This window comes from Homo sapiens, chromosome 5 (genome assembly GCF_000001405.40).
Source record: "Homo sapiens chromosome 5, GRCh38.p14 Primary Assembly".
NCBI lineage: Eukaryota > Metazoa > Chordata > Mammalia > Primates > Hominidae > Homo > Homo sapiens.
The window spans coordinates 111,317,701-111,344,949 of record NC_000005.10 but is presented as its reverse complement, the minus strand read 5'-3'; the positions used below and the strand labels follow the sequence as shown (position 1 = coordinate 111,344,949).

General features: G+C 33.7%; 1 protein-coding gene across 6 annotated transcripts in view; it reads right to left on the bottom strand.

The window, feature by feature from the left end:
- The window catches only part of CAMK4 (calcium/calmodulin dependent protein kinase IV), a 271,304-nt gene that overhangs the window by 149,937 nt on the left and 94,118 nt on the right, over positions 1-27,249 (bottom strand). For all 6 annotated transcript variants that reach the window (XR_948303.3, NM_001323375.2, NM_001323374.2 and 3 more), the window contains one exon: positions 848-926. Coding sequence is in view for 3 of the 6 variants with exons in the window: in NM_001323375.2 (NP_001310304.1) it covers positions 848-926 (79 nt within the window). In the remaining 3 variants the exon portion in view is untranslated. The remainder of the gene's footprint in view (positions 1-847; positions 927-27,249) is intronic.

The following is a 27,249-nucleotide window of genomic DNA, read 5'->3' as shown; positions in this document are numbered from 1 at the left end:
AAAATGAATGTGTTATAAAAGAATATCTTGTCTTTTTGTGGTTTTATGAGTAGAAACTGCATAAGAACACAAAATCCAAGTAGGGCATTAAAATGGCAAAATACTCTCTGGGGGTATAGACAGTATTACACAGGTGTTGGCATTTATATTTTGAACTCCCATCTACTGTGTTTCTTACTCATTAGAGATAAGCCTAAGTCACTTTTGCCTCCTCAGCTTATCTATGAGTGTAGGGCAAAAGAAGCAACCCCCAAAACAAAAACCTTCCTTTTTTTCCAAGTACAAACTTCTAGATGAGCAGGTTCAGTCCCAGAAAAATTAACTCAATAAAATTCAATTATACTCTACTGAAGCAAGTGCAACATTTGAAAATTAAGGCAAATTAGAATCTGATGACTCCTTTAACAAATACATTTGTGCTTTATTTCAAATTCTTTTCAATAGCAAGCTTTTCTAATATTAAAATGTGGTTTTAATATTTAAATATTGAAATTATTATATAGTGTGTGTGTGTGTATGTGTGTGTGTGTGTATATACATATATATATATATAAAATCTCCAAGAACATGCCTGATATGCAAAATAAGGTCTACCTGCCAATTCTAAATGTTTTTCCTTGCCAATCTTCTCCCCAGAACCACATCCAATCTGAGATCCAGCTGCTTTCAAAGACTCATGCAATTTCCACCAGACAACAACCTATTTGGGTTGCACTCCCGTAATCAAGAGTCAAATGGGTTATTTGCACACAGCAGCTCTCTGGCCCCTTTGTTCTTCAAATCAGGTTCCTGCCTTCTCCAGGTCACAGGCCCCTTAGAGATGCCATTATATAAGAAATAAACTTACTGTTTTCTTTAACACTTTGAGAGCATAAGGCTTCTGGGTCCCCTTCTGTTTGCATCTGTACACAATGGATGTAGCACCCCTTGAGGGGGAAAAAGACAAAAAGAAAATGTTATGCTTTGGACATGAATTAAAGGGGAAAGCTTGAAAATAAGTGTATCTTGCAATAACCCACATAACTGACAAGTGCTTATTATAAGTTCTATTATAGGACCAGCCCTAGCTGTCAAGAGTATTTTTTTTTTTATCACAATTGAACACAGTTTGCTCAAAAAATTCTAGGTTTTCCAGCTTGCTCTTTTCCTTCTGCCTTATCCCTATACAAGTAACATAACTAGGGCTACTGCATTGAGAAGGCTCTGGAATAAATCAGGTCCTCAGGTGAATGTTGTTTTTGAAGGAAACCCACCCAATTTCAGAATCCCAGAGCTTTCCTAAAGGTACATGTCTGGAATAAAACAAACCATATGACTTCAGGGAGAGGGTTTAGGTTAAGCACTCTATATAGTCTGTACTTCCACAGTGTGGCAAGAGAGCTGGGACACCCCTCCTACTTTTTAACGTGTAGAGGAGATGGTAATCTGTGAAGCAGATGGTAAGAAGGCATTCAATAACTATTTTCACATATGTACAGGGTTATTAATAAGAAAGCATTAAAAAGCAGGACAACGTGGTCCAAATGCTCCAAACACCACATGAGAAGCAAAAGAGTAAAAGAGAGATAAAAGAGAAATATAGACCAAACAGGCTTACACTTCAACTTCAGAAAGAGAACTTCTAGAAACAGCTTAAGATCAGTAAACTTGTCAGACTTTGAAGATTAGGCCAAAGGACCTCTTATACTCGGTCCCATGGTCCTGAAATTCCAAGTGAGCACAAAGAATTATAAAAATAAAACACATTCCCAGCTATCTAAAGGCAACACATTTTTAACAGAGCCAAGAGAAGTCAAAGACTGGTGTGTTGTAAATGCAAATAGTTAAAAATATTAACATGTATTTTTAAAACCTTGGTAAGGTATGACATATACACAAAGTAATAAAGGGTTCAAGAAATAGAATAAATGAAGGTAATATAAAATTCATTTCCTTATTTTAAATTGCTTTAAAAGATAACTAAGGCAAAAATATTAAAATTTAAAAAAATTAAAAATGCATTGTGTTTCTAGCATGTGTAAAAATAAAAAATGTACGACAACAACAGCACAAATGATGGAAGGAAGAAATTGGGAAATACTGTTGTTAAATCCTTATACTACATGTCTGGTAGTCTAATATTATTTAAATATAGACTGATTAAAGATGCATATTATGTAACCTATGGCAATGACTAATTCTTTAATAGAAAAATCAACAATAATTCAATAATGGAGCTAAAATGAAATATTCAAGAATGGATTGCAAAGGAGCAAAAACAAAATAATAGATTTAAAAATGAAACAGCTAACAATGTGGTGGTTTTTATTCTAATCATATAATTACATTAAATGTAAACATTATAAACTGTTAATTAAAACTTAAAGAGCAGATTGGATAAAAAAAAATCAACACCAAACTATATGCTGTGTACAAGAAACTCATTTTAAATATATAGGCATAAATAGGTTAAAAAATAAAATGATACATTAGGTTGGTGCAAACCTGGTAAAAGAGATACTACACAAACCCTAACCATAAGAAAGCAGGAACAGCTTATTAATATCAGACTAAGTAAATTTTAGCAAAAGGATAAAGGGGGACATTAATTACGAAGGCGTCAACTATGCAAAACAACATAATAAATATAAATATGTGTGCACCTAACAACAGGGTTTCAAAATACCTGAAAGAAAATCTTATAGAACTAAAAGGAGAAATAAAAAATCCATAAATACACTTGGAAACTTCAATACACTGTCTCAGCACTTGATAGCAAAAGCAGACAAACTCTCAGGAAGGATTACAGAACAACAGAACAGCCCTACCAACTAAATTATACTAAGTGACATTTAGAAAAAAAAACTCTCCACCAAAACATCAGAATACATATTCTCTTCAAAGTTATAGGACTCACATACTTTATAGACTTACTATAAAGCTACAGTAATCGAGAGAGCGGTGTTGAAGAAAGAATAGACATGAATACAAATGAAATGTTTTTTGCATGTGTTTCATATAGGTAGCTAAAGTTGCAAACGAAATAAAGAACAGTTGTCATATTCGAGATAAGGCATTGGATTGGGGTAGAGGTGAGCAAAATAATAAGGTGATTAAGAAGGCAGCTCCAACAATTACTAGCTACATGACCCCATGCAAGTTACATGACCTCTTTGTGCCCTCAGTGTTCCTATCTGTAAAATGGAAAAAATAACAGTACCTATCTCATGAATTGTAAAGAGTAAATGTGTTAATCTATTTAAAGCATTTAGAGTGATACTTGGCACAGTAAGGTCTATGTAAGCATTTACTGTAATTGTTACATATTTCTAAATTTTTATAATTTTTACAAGAAAATACTCATATTCTTCATGTAATTCTTGGTGTATTCCTAGTGTAATTTTATTTTTATATTTACTTTTTTTTAAAAAAGGATCCAAAAATAGTCCTACACATATATGATGGATTATTTTCTGACAATGGTAAAAAGGCAATTCGGTGACAAAAAAAAGTTTTTCTAAAACCTAGTGCTTGAATGACTAGATATCCATATGTAAAAAGATAAAAACAAAATTTCTCCATACCTCACACCTTATATTAAAAAATTACTCAAAATGGATCACAGATAGAAATGCAAAACCAGGAACTGTAAAATTTCTCTTAAAAAACATAGAAAAAAAGGATTGTGATCTTTAGTTAGGCAATGATTTCTTAGATACAAAATCAAAAATACAATAAATGAAAGAACAAGTAAATAAACTGAACTTCACTTAAGAATGTCTGCTCTTTGAAAGTGTGGGAGAAAATATTTATGAATCACATATCTTAAAAGGACTTGTATCTAGAATAAATAAATAACTCTCAAAACTTGATAAGAAAATAACACATTAAAAATAGGCAAAATATCGGAACACATACAACTGATAGTACAGAAATGTAAAGGGTCTTAAGAGACTAGTATGAACAAATATACATCAACAGATTGGATGACCTAGAAGAAATGAATAAATTCCTAGATACATACAACCTACCAAGACTGAATAATGAAGAAATAGAAAATCTGAACAGACCAATAATGAGTAAGAAGATTGAAATTGTAATAGTTTCCCATCAAAAAACAAAAAGAAAAGAAAAAAGAAGCCTGGACCTAAAGGCTTCACTGCTGAATTTTACCAAACATTAAAAAAAACTAATACCAATCCGTCTCAAACTCTTTCAAAAACTGAAGAGGAGGGAATACTATCAAACGAATTTTATGAGGCCACCATTACCCTGATATCAAAGCCAGACAAGACCACTATAAGAAAAGAAAATATCCCTGATGAACACAGATACAAAAATCCTCAACAAAATACTAGCAAACTGAATTCAGCAGCACATTGAAAGGCTCATTCATCATGGTCAAGTGTTATTTACCCTTGGGATGAAAAAGTAAACATATTCAAATCAGTAATTGTGACATACCACACTAACAAAATGAAAGACAAATCACATGATCATCTCAATAGATGCAGAAAAAGCATTTGACAAAATTTAACATCTATTCATGACAAAAACTCTCAACAAATTACGTATAGAAAGAATGTACCTCAACACAATAAAGGCCATATATGACAATTCCACAGCTAATATACTCAATGGTAAAAAGTTGAAAGCTGTTCCTCTAAAATCAGGAACAAGACATAGATTCTCAATCTCACCACTTCTATTCAATACAGTAGTAGAAACCCTAGCCAGAACAATTAGGCAAGGCAAAGAAATAAAAGGAATCTGAATCAAAAAGGAGTAAGTTAAACTGTCGCTATTTTCAGGTGATATGATTATATACACAAAAACCCTTGAAGACTTCACCAAAATACAGTTAGAAATAATAAATGAATTCAGTAAAGTTGCAGGATACAAAATCAACATTAAAAAATCAGTTGGGTTTCTCTATACTGATAACAAGCTGTCCAAAAAAGAAATGAAGAAAATAATTCAATTTACAATAGATAAAGATATAAAATACTTAGAAATAAATGTAAACAAAGAAGTGAAAGATCTGTATACTGAAAACTATAAACATGCATAAAAGAAATTGAAGAAACCACAAAAAAATGAAAAGATATCCTGTGTTCATGGATTGAAAGAATTAATATTGTTAAAATGTCCATATTACCCAAAGCAATCTACAGATTCAATATAATCCCTATCAAAATTCCAATAACATTGTTCACACAAGTAAAAAAAAATTCCGAAATTCCTGTGGAATCACAAAAGACCCCAAATAGTCAAAGTAATCTTGAGCAAAAAGAACAAAGCTAGAAACATCACACTACCTGATTTCAAAATCTACTACAAAGCTATAGTAGTCAAAATGGCATGATACTGGCATAAAAATAAACACATAGAGCAATGGAACAAATAGAGATCCCTGAAATAAATCCACACATTTATGGCCAACTGGTTTTTGACAAAGATGCCAAGAACACATAATGGGGAAGGAATATTTTCATTAATAAATGGTGCTGGGAAAACTGGACATCCAAAAGCAAAAGAATGAAATAAGACCCTTATCTCACACCATTTACAAAGATCAACTCAAAATGAATTAAATACAAATGTAATACCTGAAGCTGTAAAACTACTAAGTGAAAACATAGGAAGAAAGCTCTATAACACCGGTCTGGGAAATAATTTTTTGGATATGACCTCAAAGGTACAGCTAACAAAAGCAAAAATAGATAACTGAAATTATATCAAACTAGAAAGCTTCTGCACAGCCAAGGAGACAATCAGCAGAATAAAACAGACAACCTACAGAATGGGAGAAAATATGTTTAAACCATACATCTGATAAGGGGTTAATATGCAAAATATATAAGGAACTCAAACACATCAATAGTAAAAAACTAAGTAACTCAATTAAAACATGGGCAAAGCATATGGCTTAAAGCAATCTATAGAGTCAACACTATTCCTATCAAACTACTAACATCATTTTTCACAGAATTACAAGAAACTATTCTAAAATTCATATGCATTCAAAAAAGAGCCTGAATAGCCAAAGCAAAAAAGAATAAAGCCGGAGGCATCACATTACTGGACTTCAAAATACGCTACAAGGATACAGTAACCAAAACAGCATAGTACTGGTATTAAAAATGGACACAATATACCAATGGAACAGAATATAGAACCCAGAAATAAAGCCACACACCTACAGCCATCGGATCTTCAACAATTCGACAAAAGCAAGCAATGGGAAAAGTTCTCCCTATTCAATAAATGGTGCTAGGATAGCTGGCTAGCTATATGGAGAAGAAACTGGACCCTCCCTTTCACCATATACAAAAGTTAACTCAAAATGCATTAAAGATTTAGATGTAAGACCTCAAGCTTTAAGAATCCTAGAAGAAAATCAAGGAACCACCTTTCTGGACATTGGCCTTGGCAAAGAATTTTTGCCTACGTCCTCAAAAGAAGTTGCAACAAAAACAAAAATTGACAAATGGGACCTAATTAAACTAAAGAATTTCTGCACAGCAAAATAAAGTAAAGTATCAACAGAGTTAACAGACAACCTACAACCACCAGAGGATTGGAGTGGAGACACTAGGGAGATATGATGTTACTCAAAGGATACAAATGTTTAATTAGCCAGGAGGAACAAATGCAAGAGCTCTTAATAATATAGTTAATAATAATGTATTGTATACTTGAAAATTACTGAGTAGTTCTTAAGTTCTAAGTAAATTTTAATTTACACCATTAAAAATGAGGTAATTCATATGTTATTTAGCTTGATTTAGTCATTCCACAGTGTATACATATTTTAGAACATCATATTTACACTATAAAAATATATAATTATTTCCAATGAAAAATGATTTGACCATATACTTCACCAGAGAAAATGTATGGCTGGCAAACAAGAACATGCAAAGATCCACAGCATCATTAGTCATTTGGGAAATGGAAACTAAAATCACATGAAGATGCAACTACACATTGTGAAAGCTGATTACACAGATTGGATTATCCTTTTCATACCCAACTAAAACAGTCTAGAGGCAGCAGGGCAAGACATTAGGGACACATAACATTGCTCCAAAAACATAGTTCTTTACAAGTCCGGCTGCTGAAACTTGCCTGTTGTAACTAGAGACCAGTTTTCTTTGTAACTGCTGCAACTTTAGTACTAATTTGGCCCACTGCTGTCACTCACCGATCAGAGCTTATCAGTTCCTCAGAACCTTACTAGTGCCAATGACCTTTCTCAAAAAGCAATATATAACATTTCTACTTTTTATACAACCTCCAACCTCTTTGTTCTTTTGACATACTGAAGACCACCTAGTCTGAAAGTACACCCCAAATTGCAATTATTTCTTCTCAAATAAAACATTAAATTTAGAGATGTGTCTTTATATTTTTATTGTGACTTCAACAACACTATTTGAATGACCTAAAAAAAAAAAAAAAGGCTGGCAAGGATGCAAAGCAACTGAAACTCTCACACATCACTGGTAAGAATACAAAATGGTATAGCCACTTTTGAAAACAGCTTGACGATGTTTTATAAAGTTAAACATATCATATGACCTATGTATGTCACTTCTAGGTATTTACTCAAGTAAGATCAAAACAATGTTCACTCACAAACTTGAACCTGAATTGTCACAGCAGGTTTATGAGTAATCACCAAAAGCTAGAAACAGTTTCACTATCCCTCAACTGTGAAGTGGATTAACAATTTGTGATACATCCATATGGTGAAATTCTACCTAGAAATAAAAAAGGAATTAATGAGGGTACACAAAACAACTTGGTTGAATCTCATTTATAATACTCTCACAGGTTGGAGAGGGATTGACTACAAAGTAGTATAGGGGAATTTTTTTCACATGATAGAACTATTTTATATCTTGACTGTTATGGTGTTTACACAACTATATACAATTGTAAAAACAAGTAAAACTGCAATAAAATAGGTGAAATTTACTGTCCAGAAATTATAGTTCAATGAAAATACAGTAAAAAAAAATTTCCAAAAGAACTATATTGTTTAAAAATATTAAAAACCACATTACCAAAATGTGGCTTATAGCATTCAACCCATTCTATGTTCATTTAACAGTAAGTGGTGAAATTTTAAAAAAAAGAAAAAATATAAGAGAAAGATTTTCAAACAGAAGAAAACTAAAAATCTAATTTTCATTCTTATGGAAAATAAAATTGAAAAATTAATGTTACTCAAAAATTCACATAAAAAATATTAAATGGCATCCATTTCTTAATTTCCTCATCACATTCAATTAACCTATCAATAAATTCCATATATAAATCATTGTCTTAGCAAAGCTTTTTAAGAAACAATTAATAAATACGTTTTTGGCTGATCAACTTCAGGACACAAGTATACTAGAAATAAATTTTTAAAGGCAAGAAAGAGTAAGCTAAAAGAAGAACTTATGTGGAAATAACAATTCAACAGTTTCTCAAAAAAATAACCTATATTATTAATTGAAATTAAATAGTTGACTTAAGTGTGTAAATATAATTTTAGAAAGCAATCACATTTTCAGCATGTTCATATAAAAATAAAAACTATTTTGACATAAAGCATATTAACAGTTAATTTTTAATACAGAAAGAACATCTTGTACAGTGTTGCATCTTCATTTCAAAATGGAATAAAGAGAGAACTACCACAAAATTGCCTGAGATTCAAAAGAAGCAAGGAGATTATACATTAGAGGATATTATATTTATGGAGTCATTCAACTGAAAAAAATAAAGCTTTACTGCTCATGTCTATCCATTTATAACATATTCTTCAGCAAAAAGACCAAAGAATTATAGAAATTATTCCATTTATAATTTTTTCTGCCATGAATTTGATGAGAAATGAAACTAATACTTTGAGCCTGATTTCTACTACTTTCTTTTACATTAGTTTTAACAGGAATTCTAGAAAAATTATTTTTGAGCTCTAGTTTTGTCTAATATGGTTAGTTGTTTATTTAAAAATTTAAAGGCAAAAAGTTAAAAATATAGACCACCATATTTTTCATTACACAAAAAGAGAGAGTTGTCAAACCTGTAATGTGTTTGTAAAATCATATGTAGTATTTGTACATTATAACTGAAATACTACGTATAAACTATAATATGTGTACATACATATACAAAATATATATTATATCCCCACACATTGTTCTGTAAAGCTATTAACACCTGATGTTGATACCTGGCACTGCATGCCAAACTTATGGATGGAGGGGAAGGCTCCAGATATAATATTTATTTTCCTGAATATGTTTCAAGTATAAAGCCCACTGCTACCACATTTAGGACTACGTAGTGTAGAAAGGGGCTCTTCATCTGTCAGTTGGCCTTAACATGCTCCTCACGCCTAATTCATATGGAATAACTTTTCTTTCTTTTTCTCCCATAATCTCACCATTTTTTTCTTCCTGTCTTCTTTCTTGCTTTAAAAAAAGATAAATTGGTTTAATTTTATTTTTTCCTCCAAAAAACAATGCAGGAGTGTTGACATAACTATTCACCCACTAGCTGAGAGACAGATACCCATATGGATTCAAAGGGCCAAATACAGATCAAATCTGATTCAAAATGGAATTAGGAAGTCTGGGTTCATATTAATATTTTTGGGAATGAAGATGAGATTGCACAATGTTCAGACAATTTAGCATCAAGGGCATTCTCCTATTAAGGGAGGTTATAAATCAGAAATTGTCTCTTCTAGGAGAGGACATAGTGGGATGTTTGTGATTATTTGAGGGAAGCATTAAAGTTTGACTTCCCTTGCCATCAAGTCTACAATGTACTCCTTGCAAATGCAAGGGAAATTCAGATATGGAATCTCTTATCACACAGAAGTCTGGAAGTACTGCTGACTACCATGTTTCTCCGCTCCAGCTGGATCTCTGCAATGATATGCTTCATGGCCATGTAAAAGTGTCTTTGCTGAGGTTATTAGGTCACGTAAGCTATTAAAGAGTTTCACTTTTTTTTTTAAATGGGAGGTATCTTGAGATGAAATCAAAAAATCTTGTTATCTTTTTCTAATGTTGAAGATGCTTGGTTACAAAGTATAGTTATGTCAAAATATTAATCATTTTTTAACATTTCAATTGGTTTGATTTTATTCTTTTGTTTTTGCATTTGATTGTTAAAGTTTTTGTTTTCAATCTATGTGCTTACTGGAAAGATCCTCTTAATGCTCATTAGGGAAAAGGTTTAAAAGCAAAGCTGTGATTTAAAAGAAGTGTCAATCATAGGTTGAAAATATAATGTGTGCAACTCTATATATCATCACATTACTCTTACATGATTGACTTGCTATTATTTAATAAGCTCTTCTTTTTATTGACTTTTAGGTTATATGAATTATTAAAGAAGACTGGTTATAACCTCAAAATTGATTCTTCTTAGGGGTGAAAGTGTGTCATATTAAAGAGCAGGAACCTAAAAAACGTCAAAATCTGTAAGCATTTAATATCAGTATACATCTTGGCCCATTCTTGGGACAGCTTTTCATTGTTTCAGTCTCTATCTCTGTTAGCCTGCAACTCATCAATGCTCTTCAACACTAGAATGCTTCAAGATGTTCTTTGGTCACCAAGAGGGAAAAAAGTCTGAACCTTAAAATCAACAAACAACTGGAGGAAAGCTACTTAATTGATTTAATTAGTGATTTGACATTTTCAGTCTACAACGTGAAGAATGGCTAACCTTTAGAATTTAGAAGTTGCCGTTAGATCTGGAGGTTTCCCAAGTCAGTTAAATATTACACTCCTAAAATAAATCTCAAATATATCATGTCAAGGAATGATACTAATGATACTAAACTCCAGATGTTAAGAAAAGTCCAAGCCCAAGGTTTTGGCATCAGTCTGTCCACAACTGCACTCTTTCTTATCAGGTTCATTTACTTGCTGAATCCTGCAGAAAGCAAGCGTAAGCACCTCACTTCAGTCTTCTCATGTCCTCCTACTTGGTGCCTTACGTCAACTTTTTGGTCTGTCTCCCAGATAGAGTCCTCATTTGTTGTTTCAGCCTCATGTCAGCTTATTCTACAGCCACTGTCTTACAGGTATCATTCCTGACCTACAAACCCTTTTTCAAGACCTTATATTGGCAACTAACTATTAACTCTTCAACTCTGATCAACTCAAACTATGAATTATTATATTCTCTACTTTGTGGCTCCAGTTTCTCAAAACCTTGCTTGCCTGGTGAACAATTTCCTTAAGTTGTTGCCTAACAGCATCCAGTTGTGACTTTGGACCTAGTGCTTGGATCTCCATAAGCATTGGCTTAAATATGGCTCCTCTTATTTCAGACATTTAATAAAACTTCTGCCCTAACATAAAGTAAAAGCGTAAGAAGCTCTGGAACCCAAATGCTGAATTTTAGCTACCACAAGGTAAAGCAAAAACAGCCTCAAATTATCAGATAGCTTGAGTATTGGTTCTCAATCACAAAATACATTAATAACAATAAAACTATGGAATAAAGGGTCTTAATAACTCTTATCAGTCCTCTTTGTTTGCTTCAAAATATTTTATGCATCATATTGTTAGCTATTAGTATCAACTAATCAAACATCTTGCGAAAAGTTTATTTTCCTTTTTTTCTGTGAGTGGGTGTGTGCACATGCATGCAGCACACAGAACTGAATTTTTGATCAACCATTTAATGTTATAATACATGAATGAAGACAGCTATTGTTCTTTTTTAACCTTTATCCTCCATTCCCAGTCCTCTTTCCTTCTATTCCATACCATCTACTATATTTAATGTGTATCTACACAATTCCATCTCCATACCTTCAATTATGCTTAATATTAATAAGCAATATATACCATTGTTTTTATATACTATTTAGATTTTATAGAAGTGTTACTATACTATATACCTCAGTCCTCAATTTGCATTTTTTCACTGAACATGATGTTGATATCTATTATTGTTGATTAACACAGTTCTTAATAAGTCCTGTTAATTGCTGCCACTCAACGAATATACCACATTTTACTTGTTCAGTATGACTTTGATGGACATTTCGGTTTTTAACTATTTCAAACCAAAATTTAATGAATATTCTTTCTTCTAAGTTTTTCCACAATTTGGTTGTAATTTTCTAATGGCCCTGCAATTTTTCCTGCTGTCTATGGGAAATCTTTTTAATTGAGAAGTAAAAGCACCAATGTTGTAATCCCTGAAGTCAGGCATAACACCCAAATGCACTAGACCAGCAGCTCACAGAAATCTCACCCTGCATCTTTATGCTTGCATTCTCAAATAGCATCAAGAATAAAATGTAATTAATTTTGAAGTACTAGAAAAGTTATTTCATTGCAGCGAACACTCTCCTTAAGACTGAGGTTAAATCATGCTGCTATAAAGACACATGCACACATATGTTTATTGCAGCACTACTCACAATAGCAAAGACTTGGAACCAACCCAAATGTCCAACAATGATAGACTGGATTAAGAAAATGTGGCACATATACATCGTGGAATACTATGTAGCCATAAAAAATGATGAGTTCATGTCCTTTGCAGGGACATGGATGAAATTGGAAATCATCATTCTCAGTAATCTATCGCAAGGACAAAAAACCAAACACCGCATGTTCTCACGCATAGATAGGAATTGAACAATGAGAACACATGGACACAGGAAGGGGAACATCACACTCCGGGACTGTTGTGGGGTGGGGGGAGGGGGGAGGGATAGCATTAGGAGATATACCTAATGCTAAATGACGAGTTAATGGGTGCAGCACACCAGCATGGCACATGTATACATACGTAACTAACTTGCACATTGTGCACATATACCCTAAAACTTAAAGTATAATAATAATAAAAAAGAAAAGGATGCTTAAATTGTGTGGGTGTGAGCAATATTTAGTCGTATATTTAAAAGCAGCAGAAATCACTGTTCATTTTTAAAACGGAGTTAGATTTCATCAAGTGAAAATTTATTAGGCACTGTGCTAGGCACTTTATGGGAATATAAGGATGGTTCTGGCCCCTAATGAACTTAAAACATAATATGAAAATAAGAAAAAATCTATAAATAAATATATAATTTTCAAAGTAGGCTAAATACTAAGATCAAAACTATGGAACTTTGGGTAGCACAAATTTATAATTTATTGTCAAGCCTGTATGTTTTTGAGTAGGATTAATCGATTATGTCAAAACCATATATATAAATCAGGACTATCCTTGGTAAACAGAGATATGTAATCCCTTACTACTGGTGACTAAAAAGGAGGGAGAAAACTGGGGAGCCGTCTTGTAGGAGGGCAAATTTAAGTGGGTCTTCAAGATGGATAGGGACTAACAAAGGCAAAAGAATAGACTGGCAGGTGTTATACACAAATGATCTTACTCGAGCCTCAATGTTTAACTTCTGTAAAAACTGTCAAATAGTTTTTCAATGTGGTTGTACCATTTCATTCCCACAAGCAGGGTATGAGAGTTCTAGTTGCTCCACATCTTCATCAACATTTGGAAATGTCAATTATTTTAGTTTTTGCTATTTTAGTGGGTATGAGGTGGTGTCATATTGTGATTTAATTTACATTTCCACGAATAATGATGTTGAGTACTTTTGCAGGGACTTATATGTAATTCATTCATCTTTTGTGAAGCATTTTGGTCTTTTGCCCATTTAAAAAATATAACTTTGTTTTTATTATTTTTATGTTTTTTTAAAATTCCAGACACAAGATTATTTGTTATATATGTGTATTCTCCCAGTCAATAGTTTGCTTTGTTATTGTTCTTAATGGTGTCTTTTGATAATCATAATCTTTTAATTTTGAGATCCAATTTATCAGTTCTTTTACAGTGAGTGCTTTTTTGTGTTCTAAGAAATCATTGCTCATCCTCAAGTCATAAAGATATTATCCTAGTTTTCTTCTAGTAGTTTTCTAGTTTTAACTTTTATGTTTATGTATATGACATATCTTGAATTTTTTTTGTTTGTGGTATAAGGCATGTATCAAGGTATATTTTTTCCATGTATTTATGTAGTTGTTCCAGCACCTTTAATTGAAAAGATTTTCTTTCCCCATTGCACTGCCTCAGTACTTTTGCCAAAAATCAACTAACTATTGATCTATGGATCTGTGCCAGGACTCTATTCTCTCTATTGTTATGCCAACGCCTCACTACTCTGATTTCTGTAGTTTTACAGTAGTTATCTATGGGGGATTGGTGTTCTCAGATCCACTATTGACACCAAACTCCATGGATGCTCAAGTCCCTTATATAAAATGGTATAGTATTTGCATATAATCTATGCACATTCCCCCTTATACTTTAAATCATCTCTAGATTACTTATAATTAATTATAACTTGGGGTATTCTGGTTATTCTACTTTTCCTTGTAACACTTAGAATCAATTCACTGATGTTTACCAAACAACAACAACAAAAAACCAAACAACAACAACAACAAAAAAAGAAAAACAAAGATCCTGCTAGGATTTTAATTAGGATTATATTGAATCTATAGATCAATTTGGAGAGAACTGACATCTTAATGTTGAGTCCTCCAATCCATTTACAGTGTGTATCACTCCATTTAGGTTTCCTTTTATTTCTCAGCAATATTTTGAAGTTTTCCTAGTAAAAGTCTTTTATGTCTTTTGTTAAAGTTACAGTTCATTGTTTTTTATTTCTTGATGTAATTATAATAATATTGTAGAATTTTCTTTTATGGGTGTTTGCTTCTAATATATATAAATACAACTTATTTTTGTATGGTGACATTTATCTTAAAACCTTGCCAAATTAACTTACTAGTCTTCTAGAGTTTTTTATTTGTTTGTTTTTTTGTAGGGGTGGTGGGGAGTAGAATTCTGAGGACTTCTACCAAAAAAAATATGTTTTATCTGAATAAATAGTTTTACTTCAAACTTTACCTTTTTCTCTTCCAATTGCACTAGCTTGGACCTCAAATATAATATTCTATTGAAGTAGTGGGAGCAGATATCCTTGCCTTATTCCTGATCTTAAAGTGAAAGCATTCAGTTTTTCATCAATAAAAATGACATCAGCTGTAGTTTTTTCATAGATGTGGTTTGTCAAATTAAGAAAATTCCCTTTCTTTCTTACTTTGCTGAGAGATTTATTTTTCTTTTTTTAATTATGAATGGACAGTGAATGTTGTCAAATACTTAATCTACCTTTATTGAGATGACTGTATGATTTTTTCTCATTAATATCTAAATGTGGCTACTTCCACTAATCAAGCAGCTAATGTTAAGCTCACCTTGCATTCTTGGGATAATCCCCATTTGCTGATGATGTATTATTTATACTTCTGGGTTCTATTTGCTAATAATTATAAAAGGACTTTTATACCTATGCAAAAATAAAACCATGAGGGACAAATCTATAATATTATTTTCTCTTAAATATTTATAAAATAATGTGGTATTAGTGTTATGCTGCCCTCATAAAAAGGTGGAAGATTTTGTCATCTGTAAACAGGGACAATTTGACTTCCTCTTTTCCTAATTGAATACTCTTTATTTCCTTCTCCAGCCTGATTGCCCTGGCCAGAACTTCCAACACCATGTTGAATAGGAGTGGTGAGAGAGGGCATCCCTGTCTTGTGCCCATTTTTAAAGGGAATGCTTACAGTTTTCGCCCATTCAGTATGATATTGGCTGTGGGTTTCTCATAGATAGCTCTTATTATTTTGAGATACATCCCATCAATACCTAATTTATTGAGAGGTTTTAGCATGAAGCGTTGTTGAATTTTGTCAAAGGCCTTTTCTGCATCTACTGAAATAATCATGTGGTTTTTGTCTTTGGTTCTGTTTATATGCTGGATTACATTTACTGATTTGCATATGTTGAACCAGCCTTGCAACCCAGGGATGAAGCCCACTTGATCATGGTGGGTAAGCTTTTTGATGTGCTGCTGCATTCGGTTTGCAGTATTTTATTGAGGAATTTTGCATCGATGTTCATCAAGGATATTGATTGTACATCTACAAAACCCCATCGTCTCAGCCCAAAATCTCCTCAAGCTGATAAGCGACTTCAGCAAAGTCTCAGGATACAAAATCAATGTACAAAAATCACAAACATTCTTATACACCAATAACAGACAAACAGAGAGCCAAATCATGAGTGAACTCCCATTCACAATTGCTTCAAGGAGAATAAAATACCTAGGAATCCAACTTACAAGGGATGTGAAGGACCTCTTCAAGGAGAACTACAAACCTCTGCTCAAGGAAATAAAAGAGGATACAAACAAATGGAAGAACATTCCATGCTCATGGGTAGGAAGAATCAATATCGTGAAAATGGCCATACTGCCCAAGGTATTTTATAGATTCAATGCCATCCCCATCAAGCTACCAATGACTTTCTTCACAGATTCGGAAAAAACTACTTGAAAGTTCATATGGAACCAAAAAAGAGCCCGCATCGCCAAGTCACTCCTAAGCCAAAAGAACAAAGCTGGAGGCATCACGCTACCTGACTTCAAACTACACTACAAGGTTACAGTAACCAAAACAGCAAGGTACTGGTACCAAAACAGAGATATAGACCAATGGAACAGAACAGAGCCCTCAGAAATAATGCCACATATCTACAACTATCTGATCTTTGACAAACCTGACAAAAACAAGCAATGGGGAAAGGATTCCCTATTTAATAAATGGTGCTGGCAAAACTGGCTAGCCATATGTAGAAAGCTGAAACTGGATCCCTTCCTTACACCTTATACAAAAATTAATTCAAGATGGATTAAAGACTTAAATGTTAGACCTAAAACCATAAAAACCCTAGAAAAAAACCTAGGCAATACCATTCAGGACACAGGCATGGGCAAGGACTTCATGTCTAAAACACCAAAAGCAATGGCAACAAAAGCCAAAATTGACAAATGGGATCTAATTCAATTAAAGAGCTTCTGCACAGCAAAAGAAACTACCATCAGAGTGAACAGGCAACCTACGACATGGGAGAAAATTTCTGCAACCTACTCATCTGACAAAGGGCTAATATCCAGAATCTACAATGAACTCAAAACAAATTTACAAGAAAAAAACAAACAACCCCATCAAAAAGTGGGCGAAGGATATGAACAGACACTTCTCAAAAGAAGACATTTATGCAGCCAAAAGACACATGAAAAAATGCTCATCATCACTGGCCATCAGAGAAATGCAAATCAAAACCACAATGAGATACCATCTCACACCAGTTAGAATGGTGATCATTAAAAAGTCAGGAAACAACAGGTGCTGGAGAGGATGTGGAGAAATAGGAACATTTTTACACTGTTGGTGGGACTGTAAACTAGTTCAACCATTGTGGAAGTCAGTGTGGCGATTCCTCAGGGATCTAGAACTAGAAATACCATTTGACCCAGCCATCCCATTACTGGGTATATACCCAAAGGACTGTAAATCATGCTGCTATAAAGACACATGCACACATATGTTTATTGTAGCACTATTCACAATAGCAAAGACTTGGAACCAACCCAAATGTCCCACAACGACAGACTGGATTAAGAAAATGTGGCACATATACACCATGGAATACTATGCAGCCATAAAAAATGATGAGTTCATGTCCTTTGCAGGGACATGGATGAAACTGGAAACCATCATTCTCAGCAAACTATCACAAGGACAAAAAACCAAACACCACATGTTCTCACTCATAGGTGGGAATTGAACAACGAGAACACATGGACACAGGAAGGGGAACATCACACACCAGGGACTGTTGTGGAGTTGGGGGAGGGGGGAGGGATAGCATTAGGAGATATACCTAATGCTAAATGACGAGTTAATGGGTGCAGCACACCAGCATGGCACATGTATACATATGTAACAAACCTGCACATTGTGCACATGTACCCTAAAACTTAAAGTATAATAATAATAAAATTTAAAAAAAAAACAGTTTCTTAGAAAGCACTCAGCTTTCTATTTTGGAATTTTATTTTAATTAAACATATAATAACAATGTGCAGAGAATTCGATTAGTCATCACCCTGTTTCATGACACACTGTTGCCATTGGTCCATGCACAACCCTATTTAATATTAATTACATAATAATTTATTAAGTAGATAATCCAGTCCAATGACTCAAAAAGTATCTATAAGAAATACCTACCAATGTACTCCTTCCCTGTATTGTGCAACTGCTTAGCCTCGTCCTTATCTGCAAATGGCAACATTCACAGAATGTTTCTTTGTACTCTTTTTTTTTATTTATAGCTTTACACACACACAGAGAGACACGCAAAGCATATATTTTCTAGTTTGCCTGTTACCGAAGTTAATAAAAAATTTCCTTCTATTTAAAAAAAAAAGGTGGAAGATTTTTTTTTAATTTTCTGCAAAAGATTGTGTAATACTGGCATTATTTACTTTTTAAGGCTTTTGTAGAATTCAACAGTGAAAATATCTGGGCTCTGGAGTCTTCTTTTGAGGAAGACTTTTAATAGAAAATGTATTTACTTAACAGATATAAGGTTATTTCTATTTTTATTTCTTATGTCACTTTTGGAAGTTTGAATTATTTTAGAAAATTTTCCATTTAATTTAGTTTGTTGAATGTATTAGCCCAAAATTGTTATTTGTTCATAATATCTTTTCAATATCTATAGGGTTTATAGAGATATTCCCTTTTATCCCTAATATTGGACTTCATTTTTTTGCTTGTTTTCTTCAACAGTCTTGCTAGGGGTTTGTAAATTTCATTAATCATGTCAAAGGGCCAACTTTTAGCATTTTAAATTTTTCCCATTATTTGCTGTCAATTTTATTGACTTCTACATTATCTTTATTTCCTCTTTTCTACTTCCTTTGAAACTGAATTGTATCTCTCTTCTTTTATATTTATTTAGCTTCTTAATGTAGAAATGTAGGTCATTAATTGTAAACCTTTTTAAAAAACATTCAATGCTAAAATTTTCCTTTAAACACTACTTTAGCTGTATCCCACAAATTTTGATATGTTGTATTTGCATTATCATTTAGTTGAAAATATTTACCAGATCTCCTTTAATTATTTTCTTTATCCCATGGCTTTATCCCATGGTTCACTCATCAGAGTGAACAGGCAATCTACAGAATGGTAGAAAAGTTTTGCAATCTGTCCATCTGACAAAGGTCTAATATAGAGAATATACAAGGAACTTAAACAAATTTACAAGAAAAAAAACAACCCCATCAAAAAGTGGGCGAAGGATATGAATAGACACTTCTCAAAAGAAGACATTTATGTGGCCAAGAAACATAGGGAAAAAAGCTCATCATCACCAGTCATTACAGAAATGCACATCAAAACCACAATGAGATACCATCGCATGCCAGTTAGAATGGTGATTATTAAAAAGTCAGAAAAATGGCAATTATAAAAAAGACAGATGCTAGCGAGGCTGTGGAGAAATAGGAATGCTTTTACATCGTTGGTGAGAGTGTAAATTAGTTCAACCATTGTGGAAGACAGTGTGGCAATCCCTCAAGGATCTAGAACCAGAAATACCATTTGACCCGGCAATCCTACTACGGGGTATTATATCTAAAGTATTATAAATCATTCTGCTATAAAAACACATGCACATGTATGTTTATTGCAGTACTATTTACAACAGCAAAGACTTGGAACCAACCCAAATGCCCATCAATGATAGACTGGATAAAGAAAATGTGGCATATATATAAATATATATATACCACAGAATACAATATAGTCATAAAAAAGGATGACTTCATGTCCTTTGCAGGGACATGGATGAAGCTGGAAGCTATCATTTTCAGCAAACTAACATAGGAACAGAAAACCAAACACCGCATGTTCTCACTCATAAGCGGGAGTTGAACGATGAGAACACAAAGACACAGGGAGGGGAACATCACTCACCATGGCCTGTTGGGGGGTTGGGGGAAGGGGAGGGAGCGCATTAGGAAAATACCTAATGCACGCGGGGCTTAAAACATAGATGACGGGTTGATAGGTGCAGCAAACCACCATGGCACATGTATACCTATGTAACAAACCTGCATGTTCTGCACATGAATCCCAGAACTTAAAGTAAAATAAGAAAAAAAATACATACTATAAAGTTTGAAATTTTTAGAGATGTATATTATGTTTCAATATATGATCTATTTTGAAGAACTGCTTATGTGTTCTCAAAAAGGAATATATTTTGCAGTTATTTAATCTGATGTTCTGTAAGTGTCAATTAAGTCAAGGTGATTGGTAATATTCAAATCATATATATTCTTTATTTTTTGTTCACTTGTTCTAACAATTTTTGAGAGGGGGGTGTTAAAATCTCTAGCTTTGTGAATCTATTTTTCTCTTCTCCTTCAATTTTTGCCTTATCTGTTAGTAGCTGCATATACATTTAGAATTATGACTTTCTGATGTATTAAACTAGTTAAATCATTATGAAATGCCCCTTCATTTCTGGCAATGCATTTTTAATTGAAGTTTGTTTTCCATCATACTAAAAATAGCATGAACTATTTTATCATCAGCTAAATATAAAAGACAACTTTCTTATATTTAGAATTTGAATATTTCTTTTTATATCCTTTTATTTTCATTCTATTTGTCTTTATATTTAAAGTGCATCTCCTATAGATAATCTTGAAACTTCTTTCAATGTATCAATCTCTGCCTTTGAATTGGAGTATTTAGTTCATTTATATTTATTATTATTTGTGATATAATTAGGTTAAGTCATCCTTATTTTAAAAAATTGTTTCATTTTTTCTACTTTCCTGCTATCATTTGGATTATTTTATTATTTTTTAATCTTCTACTTTATCAATTCTCTTGGTCTTTAAGGGATATTTTATTATTTTGTTAGTGGTTGTCCTCAGGATTATAGTATATATCTTATTTTTCTCAGTTTACACTGTAAAATATAAACATCTTAAAACAGTAATTCCATTTAACCACCTCCTCTTGCTTTCCTATCTTTTGGACTGTTATTATCCTATATTTTACTTCAGGGACTTGATTTTGCTTTAAACGATCAATTGACTTAAAAGATAGTAAGGGCAGAATAAAAATGTGTCTCTCATATTACCTACATTCTATTTCCCATGCTCTTCACTGATTTCTATAAATCTGAACTTCTATTTAGTGTTATTTTCCTTCAAATTAAAAAGTTTGTTTGGCATTACTTGTGGTTTATGTGTGCTGACAATAGATTCTTTCAGTTTTCATTTATTTTAAAATGTCTATTTTAGTCTCATTTTGAGACATATTTTAACAAGATATACAATTCTGGGAAGACAGGTTTTATTTTATTTTTTCTCTGGAACTTTGAAGGTGTTGTTCCATTGTCTTCTGGTCTTCATTTTTTTTTCAAATGGGACATTAGTCATCATTCATATTCACTGTTTTCCTGTATGCAAATGCTCCTTGACTTACAGGGTCCCAATAAACTCACTGTATATCGAAAATATCATAAGTGGAAAATGCATTTAATGCTGGCAACACAGCCAACGGTCCTCAATTTACAAGTGGTTTGACTTGTGATTTTTTGATTTTACAATAGTGCAAACATGATATGCATTTAGTAGAAATCATCAGTTTGCTATGGGATTTTGCCCTGATAAACCCATCATAAAGTAAAAAAAATCGTAAGTATAGGACTGTCTGTATATCATATCTTTGTTTCATGGTTCCTTTTAAGATTTTCTCTTTATCTTTGGTTTCTGGCTTTTGAGGATATGCCTACCTTTGGTTCTCTTTGCATTTACCATGTTTGCTGTTCAGTAAGCCTCTTGAATCTGTAATGTTCTTTACCAGCTTTGGAAAATGCCTTCCTCTTACATCTGTAAATATTTTTTCTGCCCATTTATCACTCTCCACTCCCTCTGAGACATATATTCCATTTATGATAGCCTTCTTGATATTTTCCCACAAGTTGTTAAGACTGTTCCTTTTTACCAGTTGCTTTTCTCTCTATTCTTCAGATTGGACAATTTCTATTGATTTGTCTTCAAGTTCACTATTTCTTTTGCAGCCTTTAATCCATTCTTAAGCTTATTCATTTTAAATTTCATATAATGTACTTTTCAATTCTAAAATTCCCATTAGGCTCTTTTACATAGTTTCCATTTCTGTGCTGAAACATTCTCTATGTTTATTATGCCCATATTTTGCTTCATGTTCTTGAATATATTAATAATTTGTTTTACAGTCTTTATCTTCTAATTCCAACATCTGTATTATCTCCAAGTCTATTTTATTGACTCTCCCTACACCCACCCCACCCTGATTCTAGGTCACAATTTCTTGCTTATTTGAATATCTAGTAATTTCTTAAATTGTATGATAGATATTTTTAAATGATACACACTAGAGAGTCTGGATTATGTTATCTACTTTTAAACAGAGTTTACCTTTTTTTAGTAGCAGGCAGTTACATTGCTGATAAATCCTTTTGATCCTATCAAGTTTGGTTTTATTTGTTATTAGGATAAAACTATTTGAATTTTGATATTGATTCTGTGTCATGGTCCTTGCCCTAGGACGTGATCCTTCTTATTTAAGTGTGATCGTTTTGAGGTCTCAAATAAATATCTGAGGTGATCAGCAATGTTTCTCCACCCTGGCCTGGCCAGAGATCTAATGTCTTCCAGTTGTACATGCCTACCTACCCTCAAAGATCTCTGTTACCTCTCAGCTTCTCCACATTTGTTTCTACTTCGTCTCAAAAAATCTCATCATTCATTGTCCCAGTTAGAGAATCCAGGTGAATATGGTACTCACCTGTGTTTCCCTTCTCTCAATGATCACAGCCCTTTATTGCCCATTTCTCAATGCCTGAAAACAACTGTCTTATAACTATAGTCTAGGTTGTTTATAGAAGAAGGGCAAGTGTAGTACCTTTGATTCTCACAAGCAGAAGTCCTCCCCCATAGTCTTAATTTTTATCACCTTATTGAATTTGATTCAGTCATGATTGTTACAGAAGGGAAAATAATATGTTTATTCTTTATGCATTTATTAAGAGTAAATTGAAAATGTTGACAAAACTTGTGATTGAAGGAGATTAACAAATGATAAATCTATTTAAGGGCAGAATTAAGAAATTTCCCTTTGGTGTTCCAGGCAGCTTTTTAAACATCAACAGCATCTGTTATTGTTTCTGGAGAAGAAAAGGATTTTGAGGCATGAGATATAATTATACTATGTCAAAACACTGCACTCAAGAATTTTTCCTGTTGAATAGATGATCAAACAGACATATTTTAGGACAAAATAACTACCCATTTTAGATCACAGGCCTTGAGACTACACCCACTGCTGTTTCTAAAGGATTCATGTGGCTGAGAGCTATACCAGATGGCTGATACAGACATGGAAGAGAGTTCATATCTCCCAGCTGTGACTTAGGCTTGTCAGTGACATTCAGTAATATCTAGCATTTAATATTAAGAAACTGTATAAATTAAAAGTTCAGAAAATTACTCCTTCAACAAGAGGCTTAGCAGAGGCAAGGTTGGTGGCTTATTTAGCAAACAGATGTGTTTTGTTTGGTCTGAACAGGGTTTTTAAAAAATGCTGAATGTTTTGCCAACATATAAAAATTGGGAGATTTCACCAAAATTCAGATTTCCAGCTTCTCTTGAATACAGCAACACTAACTCCTTCTTGTGTCCAGCAGCATTGGTGAGACCTGAGCAGCAACTGTTTTTGACAGCCAGCAGCTTCACACATTTATACCACCTCCCAGCTCCTGTTGACATATACATTTGCCTCCTCTAATCTCATGAACACCCAGGAAGTGGGAGTTCCTGGTAACCAAAGCAGAGAAACGTTGAAAGGCTCACTTCCAGGGGTGTAGGTAGGATTATCAATTATTAGAGCTTATTTCATGTCACCTCTTTATAATTCAGTCTAGTGGTTAGGAGTCCATAATTATTCCATTTCACAAATCAGACAATGTTGATATTAGGAAATGTCATTATGCTATGATCACTATAAAAGAGAAAAGCTAAAACCAATTTAACTGTGACAGCCCATAGTTATGGCTGCAGGATGCATCTTGACTGCAGAGATGTTAAAATGTGAAAGACAATGCACTTGAATATCAATTAAAAATGGCAATATTAGCTGGGTACAGTGGCTCATGCCTGTAATCCCAGCACTTTGGGAGGCCGAGGCGGGTGGATCACCTGAGGTCAGGAGTTCGAGACCAGCCTGACCAACATGGTGAAACCCCGCCTCTACTAAAAATACAAAATTAGTTGGGCATGGTGGTGCATGCCTGTAATCCCAGCTACTTGGGAAGCTGAGGCAGGAGAATCACTTGAACCAGGGAGGCGGAGGTTGTGGTGAGCAGAGATTGTGCCATTGCACTCCACCCTGGGCAACGAGCGAAACTCCATCTCAAAAGCAAACAAACGAACAAACAAACAACAACAAAAAAGGGCAATATCATATATGAATAGTACTACATACACATTAACGCTTTCTAAGTTACAAATTAATTTCTGTTTCTATCATTTCCGTTTCTACTCCATAGCTTTCTTAAATAGGCTCCAGGTCTCTAGCCTTATGCCCCTTCAGTCCTCCTCCATTGTACTACTGGAACAATCTTTCTAGAATGGAAATCTGACCATGACCCTCCCCTATGCTCACTATCCCCACGATGATAAGAAAAATCCAGTTTCCTCAGCATGTCATGTGAGACCATGTGCCATCTTGCTCATTCTTTCTTCTGGTCTTATCTACTTCTGTCTTCCCTTTTCTCCCTAGCAGTATCAGATTCACTGAGTTGAGCATGCTTCTCTTTTTGTTTACATCACCTCCTCCAATTTTGTGATGAACAAGGTTTTAGGCATTAATGAATCCAATATAACCACCGTCTCGTATGGCACATAAATCACATTCTTTTTTATTCCATCCTAGACTCATTGGAAGTTAAGCTTTTTCCACTCCTATACCTAATATCTCCTCTGTGGTTGATTCACATACATGCCTATCTAGACTAGAGTTTGCAAACAGCCATCTCATAAGTTGATTCCACCTTTCAGTTATATCTTGCATACAAAATGTTTAGACAGTTTTTTTTAATTGGATGTCAACATTAACAATAGGCACATTTTACATTTTAAGAAAACAAAGCCTAGAAATGTAGTACTAGCATTCCTGGATAACCACAATCAGTTAAAGGTAGCAGTAGCTGTCTCATCAAAACTGGATATGCTTTCTACATTGTATCAGGGATCCCAACAGTCCCCATGATTTTTAATGTATCTTCTCACTCATTTACAACACAGGCCTGCCCTTTATAAGCATCAGAATTAGCAATTTTCATTATACACTGGGAACTCATCACGTTCACAGAGCATCTTACTGATCTATGTCCCAGGTGCCTAGCACACAGCCTGGAATATATAACTGGAGCTCAAGAAATGTTTTACAGATTGGAGAAATCTGATATAATAATCACAACAACCCAACAAAAAAGGCAAGGGATATTATGATATACAGCTGATAAAGAAAGCACAGTTTGGGAAGTTAATGTCTTGTTCAAAAAGACATAGTTAACAAAGGGAAAAGCTGATACTGAATCCAAGACTGCTGTGTCTCAGGCCTTCTCACTAAGACACACAGTCTCTTGTGGAAGTCTATCTAGAAAGGTCCCAAAAACTTAACACTTTTTCAATTGATAAATTAATCACTACTACTATTGGAACAAATCTTTCTAGAATAGAAAGCTGACCCCACCATTACAGAGCATATTGCACACTGCCTTGAATTGTAGTTAATTGTGTGCATGTGTCTCTCCAGTGTGACTTGAGGGTGAAGGCCTGTGACAAGCTAGTGTCTTTCATATAGTAGACCTGCAATACTGGCTTGGAGATTTAAAATAAATTGAATGAATAACTCCTTACCAGCTCTATCATAACAATGTCTTAAATCCTCTAAGAAGGGAAGGAAGAAAAGGGAGGAAGAGAGGAGAGAAGAATATTGTTATAAAAGAAAAATAAAAATACAACAAAGAATCCACTTACATCTACTTACTGTTTTCCATCTTTGTCAACAGTATTTGCATCATAAGACTGATAAAATTATACGGTTTCTAATCTATTTAGATTTTAAGGTGTTATCTTCATTATCCTCATACTTACTCTGTCAGCTCTGTCAAATATTTGTATTTGTTTCCAGGAGTCATAGCCAATTCTGTCTTTATTAACACAATTATCTGATTCTTTCATTAAGGCCAGAAGTGACATTAGCGACATTTCATTACAATTTAAGAGACATTCCTAGAATTAGAAGTGGCACTGCTTTTCTGGACAGTGTTGTCTAAGTTGAATTGCCTAGGACTGGTATCAGAGCTTGGTATTTCCACTCTGTTAGTTCCTCCACCTCCAACCCCACCTTCCACCCCAAAATAATATTTTCTTTCACTCCCGCTTAGATAATAAAGTCATTAGGGAATAAAACAACTGTTCCACATGGCTATGCTATGGCAATCAGTCTTAAGAGAGTCTTATACTTTATAAACAGTATTGAATGAGCCTCACTTTACTCATCTCAGAAAACAGAAACCACATCTGGGATTTTATTACCTGACAAATTATGGGACAGGCACAGGGGTACTACACAGCCATGTGGATCATAAAGAATTGTGATCCACCTAGCCATACACTTTGCCAACTTTAAATCCAAATATGGAAATTCTGATCACCTTTTTCAGGCTATTACTTAGTAAGCCATTTTGTGTCATAGATAGATAACACACTTCCTCCTAATGCATTTACTAAATTATGTAATACACTTCCACAAACCAACCATTACTAGTCATAACTACCTTCTTGCCATAAATGAAAAGCTGAGGTATAAAGGGATTAAGCAACTTGTGTCAATTAAATCAAGTGTTTCCATTCTCTTCGCATGTAGTACAAATCTGCTTTTCTTTTTTAGCAACCTAACTTTATACAGTCCGATAAAAAATAGCCTTTTAATCCTGTTTTCCTTTTTTTTTTTTTTTTTTTTTTTTTTTTTTACATATTACTCCACCGGCTTTAGGATTCTGAATTTATTTGAAAACAAAATGTAATATTTGCATTCAGACAATACAGGGCCCGTTGTTCAAAAATTATTAAAATTTCAACATGGCCATGGCAGAGCATTAAACCAAGTGCAGAGCCCTTTTGAGCAGAGGAATCTGTGGGGCTGTACAGGACACATGCCCATGAAGCTG